A 4,791-nucleotide genomic window follows, 5' to 3' on the forward strand; every position below is an offset into this window, starting at 1 on the left:
GTAAGTCATTACATTGTTACAGCAATTTTTTTTCTTACAACAGCCATAGGAACCTAATATAGTCTGAATGGTTATTGTGACCCTTACACATTAAGTAAAGTAATATATTGATTTTAGAGGTAATTAGAACTATGAAGTTAAAATGTGTAAAGATTCTTAAGTTGAAAATGGTAATTACTCTGATAACTATAGCTGAGTTTAACTGATATCAAATGCATTGCTATTTTCATTATATTTTGAGTTTTCATGATTACATGGTTGCAGTATGAATCCAAAATGAGAGATTCAAAATCTCAAGTTACTAATTGGTCTCAGGCGGTGCTGTTCAAATCATGCTAGCAAGAAAGCAATGTCTATTATATGAGCTTGAAAAAGGTAAAAATTCACATTTCCCTGGAATATAATTTCAATTTATTAGGGAAGTATTCTCTAAAGGATCAAATATACGTCAGATAAACATACAATAAGGAATCAAAATGGTTATTTAAAAGTGTAATCAAACTTTACCATTAAAAATGGGAGAGGGAGGTTTATAAGATCTCTTTTAATGAAAATCAAAATGGCTGTGCAGTTTATAATGTTTGAAAAAAGTGTCTTATTATCTCTCATATTTCTTTGCATTATATCAAAGCTTCACCTTTGATATAGTTATAAAACATATATTTATTGGAATATATATATAAAGTTATATTATTTACCATTATATTTTCAACTTTTTCCCTTATTTTCTCTAAATTACAATAGTCTCTGAGATAGTGCCAGTTTCTCTGTCACTGTACATATGCTATTCCCACGCTTAAAATGCTTTTATCATCCATATTTTTGGATAGTGAAATCATTTACACTCATTAAAACAAAGCTCAAAGATACTTCCCGCTGTGAAGTCTTTGCAACTCTCCTAGGCTGCTAAGGTTGCCACTTATGATGTAAATTTAAAGACACTTTGATATGCTTTTCTACCTGGCATTATGAGTCTAACTTTACATGCATTTCTCCACCTTGGAAGGTGAATTATTTAAAAGGTAGGACACGGTCTCATTCATCTCAGTATCCTCAGTCCTCAGCACAGTGTCTAGGACATTTTATCAATGTTTATCGCACAAATTAAGTGCCTGTTTAAATTCCAGGCATGTATCTTTCAATGTAATATCCTGCATTTGTCCTGGTGAGGTATTGGGATGAGATGAAATACATGGCATTCAATGTCTTTTATCCCCACCCCAAGAATAAATCTGAAAAAACTTTAGTGACAAATTAATGTATTTTTTAAAGAATTTCATTTTAAACACCTAATTTTTACCTCTGTTTGCTGAGTGCCCACTTAAGCTACACTGGAAGCATAGGAAACATTTTATTCTGTAGAAAGTAATCAATTTCTTATAGAAGGGTTTAAAAGCCTTTATTTATATGCCTATAATCTACTCTGTTTTTAGTCTAGTAACCACTAATCCAGTTTATATTTATTTTCCCTGCTTCTTGATGCTAAATAAATAAAGTTTAATCATAATACTTAGAAACGTGATACAGGTAAGTGTTCCAATGCCTGGTGCCCTAAGGCAGACAGCCTGGCTTAAATCCCAGTCATGACACTTAAAATGCTGGTAAGTTTGAACAAGGCAGCAGATTGTTCTGTGACTCAGTTTTCTGACAGCAGATGCTAGACTTTTAGCCAGGTTGTAAATGTTTGCAGGAGGCAAAGGAAAAATTGCATATGCTAGATCGTGCCGTGTTTCAGGGATAACTATGTTTAACACCGCCTGATATGTCTTCAATTCATGTATTTATTCATTTAAATATATTATGTGCCTATATGGTTGAGCCTCTGACTAGTAATTGTAAACTTATGTACCAGTTTGTAAAAATTGTAACAATAGCAATAATAACAATAATTGGGAGAGTATCATCAACCAGGCTGTGAAGCAAAAGATTCCAGCTTTTGTCTTCCCACCAAAACACAATAACTGGACAGCCATCCCTGAGTGACTATAACCTGGTAGAGCTCAGAAGTCAATTTAAGAAGGTACAACAACATAGTAGAGGAAAAAAAGAATAACTGCACCAAAATGGTGAAAAAAGACACACTCATTTTGCTTGTATCATCCCATCCCCCAGGAAGACTTTGCTAACAAAAAGACGGAAATCCTTGTCTCACTAGTTTTCCTTCATAGGAAAAAGAAAAGCGGGATGAATAACCAGCTTCTTCAGACTTAGGGTCATTGCCCAGAGGGTCTCCTTTGCTGGTATCCTACCCAGCTCACTAAGGAAACTGGTATAGCTGACACATCTGGAAACAGCAAGAAACAAAGAAGTGTGGCACTATTAGTATCAGCCATGTGGCAGAAGCCACCATGGTACCCAGTGGCCTGCTCTACAGAGGACACCTGTATCCTTTATCTCCAGGGCCATAGTTTTTCACCTTTGCAGACTCCAGGTGCCTGAGCCACTGCCTCGCTAACATCCCGATCTCTGGAACTGTCCTGGGACCCAATGCAGCTACTGCATCTGAATGCCCAAACACAGCCCAGGCCTCAGCCATTGGCCCCAGGTCCCATTGCAAAACATGCATCCATGGTGGATCCCGCAGCTGTGTGTGCATGCAGCCAACCCAAACCTAAAATGTCAATCCTCACTGCTTCTTGGGAACCTGCAAAAGGCAATAGAGCTGTGCACATGCACATTGCCAGCCCTGGGATCTACAGCTGCACATGTACAGGCAGCCAGCCCCTAATCCTGTCGCTGGCCTGAACCACTGTACTTGTCCTTTCACCTACCTCCTTCAGCCACATACAGGCACAGTACCAACTATAATCCCTATAGAGAAGCACAACATCTGCAGCCAGCCCCCACATCTAAGGACATGCATCATTAGCTCAGGTCCACATTGCTAATGATTTTGATCCCTTACTGCAGAATCTGGAAGTACTGCTGAAGATCCCAACAGCCCATATACCCTCTGTAGAATTCCTGAAGCTCTTGAAACCATGGGCTACCCAGTTTCCAGTGTTGCAGATCCCAGCTTCCCGAGTTTAAAAGATGCTGTGAACCGCAGAACTAAAGCCGCACATGTCCTTGTACTTGGTATCCGATGCCATAGCATGTTTCAGCATTCCCTTATCTTCCTTCCACTTCCCACAGTTGAAAGTCTTTTCACACCAAAGCTATTCCACATAATCTGGAAGAGATTACTGTTTCTTCAAATGTGAAGCCACTTATGCAAGGTGACAAGGATCATGAAGAATCAGGAAAACGATACCACCAAAGAAAAACAATAAACTTGCAGTTACCAAATAAAAAACATGGAGATCCACAAATTTTCCAAAAAATGTCTCAAAATATTTGTTCTAAGGTAACTCAGTGAACTATAAAAGAAAACAGATACATAATTTAAGGACATTAGGACAACTATACAAGCACAAAATTAAAACTTTAACCAAAAAATTGAAAAATAACGAAAGAACAAAATAAATTTTAGAGCTGAAGAATCCAATGACTGAACTAAAAAATGCAAAAGAAGGCCTCACTAGCAGACTTGGTCACACAGAAGAAAGAATAAGCAAACCCAAAGTCCTAAATCTGGAAAAAAATTATGGAGGTCCAGGTACATGAAGCTCATAGATCTTCAATGAGATTTAACCCAAAGAAGACTTCACGAAGATATATTATGCTCAAACGCCAAATATTGAAGGTAAATAAATAACTTGTAGCATCAAAAGAGAATAAGTTCTTTACATGCAGAAAATTTCCAAAATCTATCAGTAGATTTCTTAGCAGAACCTTTGAAGGTAGAAGAGAGTGGGATGATATAATCAAAGTGCTAATGAAAAAAGTATACAAAAAAACTGTCAACCAACAATACTTTGCCTGGTAAAGCTTACTTTTGAAAAGCAAGGAGAAAGAAACATTTCTCCAGATAAACAAAAAACTGAGGCATATCATCACCGATTTTTTTAAAATTTTTATATATTTGGGGGGTACAAACACAGGCTTCTTACATGCATACATCACATAGTGGTAAAGTCTAGGCTTTTAGTTTATCCATCATCTGAATAATGAACATTGTAAACAATAGGTAATTTTTAAACTCTCATTCCCTTCTGACCTTTCCACCTCTTGGAGTTTCCAATGTCTATTATTTGACTGTATATTATGTCAATGTGTACTCATTATTTAGCTCCCATTTATAAGTGAGAGCATGCAGCATTTGACTTTCTGTTTATGAGTTATTTTACTTAGGATAATGGCCTCTAGTTTCATCCATGTTGCTGCAAGATACAAGATTTCATTTTTTGTGTGTGTGTGTGGCTGAGTAGCATTCTGTGTATATATTGACTATATCTCTTTATCCAGTCCTCTCTTGATGCATACTTAGGTTGATTAGGGTTTTCTAGATGTAAGAGCATATTATCAGCAAATAAGGATAATTTTACCTTCTCTTTCTCAATTTGGATGCCATTTTTTCTCTTCACTCATTCCTCTGACAAGGACTTCCAGTTCTAGGTTGAATAGGAGTGATGAAAGTGGGCATAAGTAATGTATCAGGATACAAAATCAATATAGAAAATCAGCTGTATTTCCATACTCTAACAGGAAACTACAATAAAAATAAAGAAAGAAATCAATCCCATTTACAGTCTAAAAAGAATAACATACTTAGGAATAAATTCCACCAAGGAGGTGAAATATCTGTATGCTAAAAACTGTAAGACATTGGTAAAAGCCATTGAAGAAGATATAAATAAATGGAAAAATATCCTGTGTTCATGGATTGGGAGAATTGATATTGTTCAAATG

The 4,791-nt window shown here is 36.4% G+C and overlaps 1 annotated feature.

Moving 5' to 3' along the window:
- Positions 627-1,130: an enhancer, noted in NCBI's record as "NANOG hESC enhancer chr4:33382663-33383166 (GRCh37/hg19 assembly coordinates)". NCBI's record gives its function as "activates a minimal SCP1, AML or CMV promoter by ChIP-STARR-seq in naive H9 embryonic stem cells {active_cell/tissue: H9 hESC(naive)}" and the evidence as "EXISTENCE:reporter gene assay evidence [ECO:0000049][PMID:30033119]".

Source organism: Homo sapiens, chromosome 4, assembly GCF_000001405.40.
Source record: "Homo sapiens chromosome 4, GRCh38.p14 Primary Assembly".
Taxonomy (NCBI): Eukaryota; Metazoa; Chordata; class Mammalia; order Primates; family Hominidae; genus Homo; species Homo sapiens.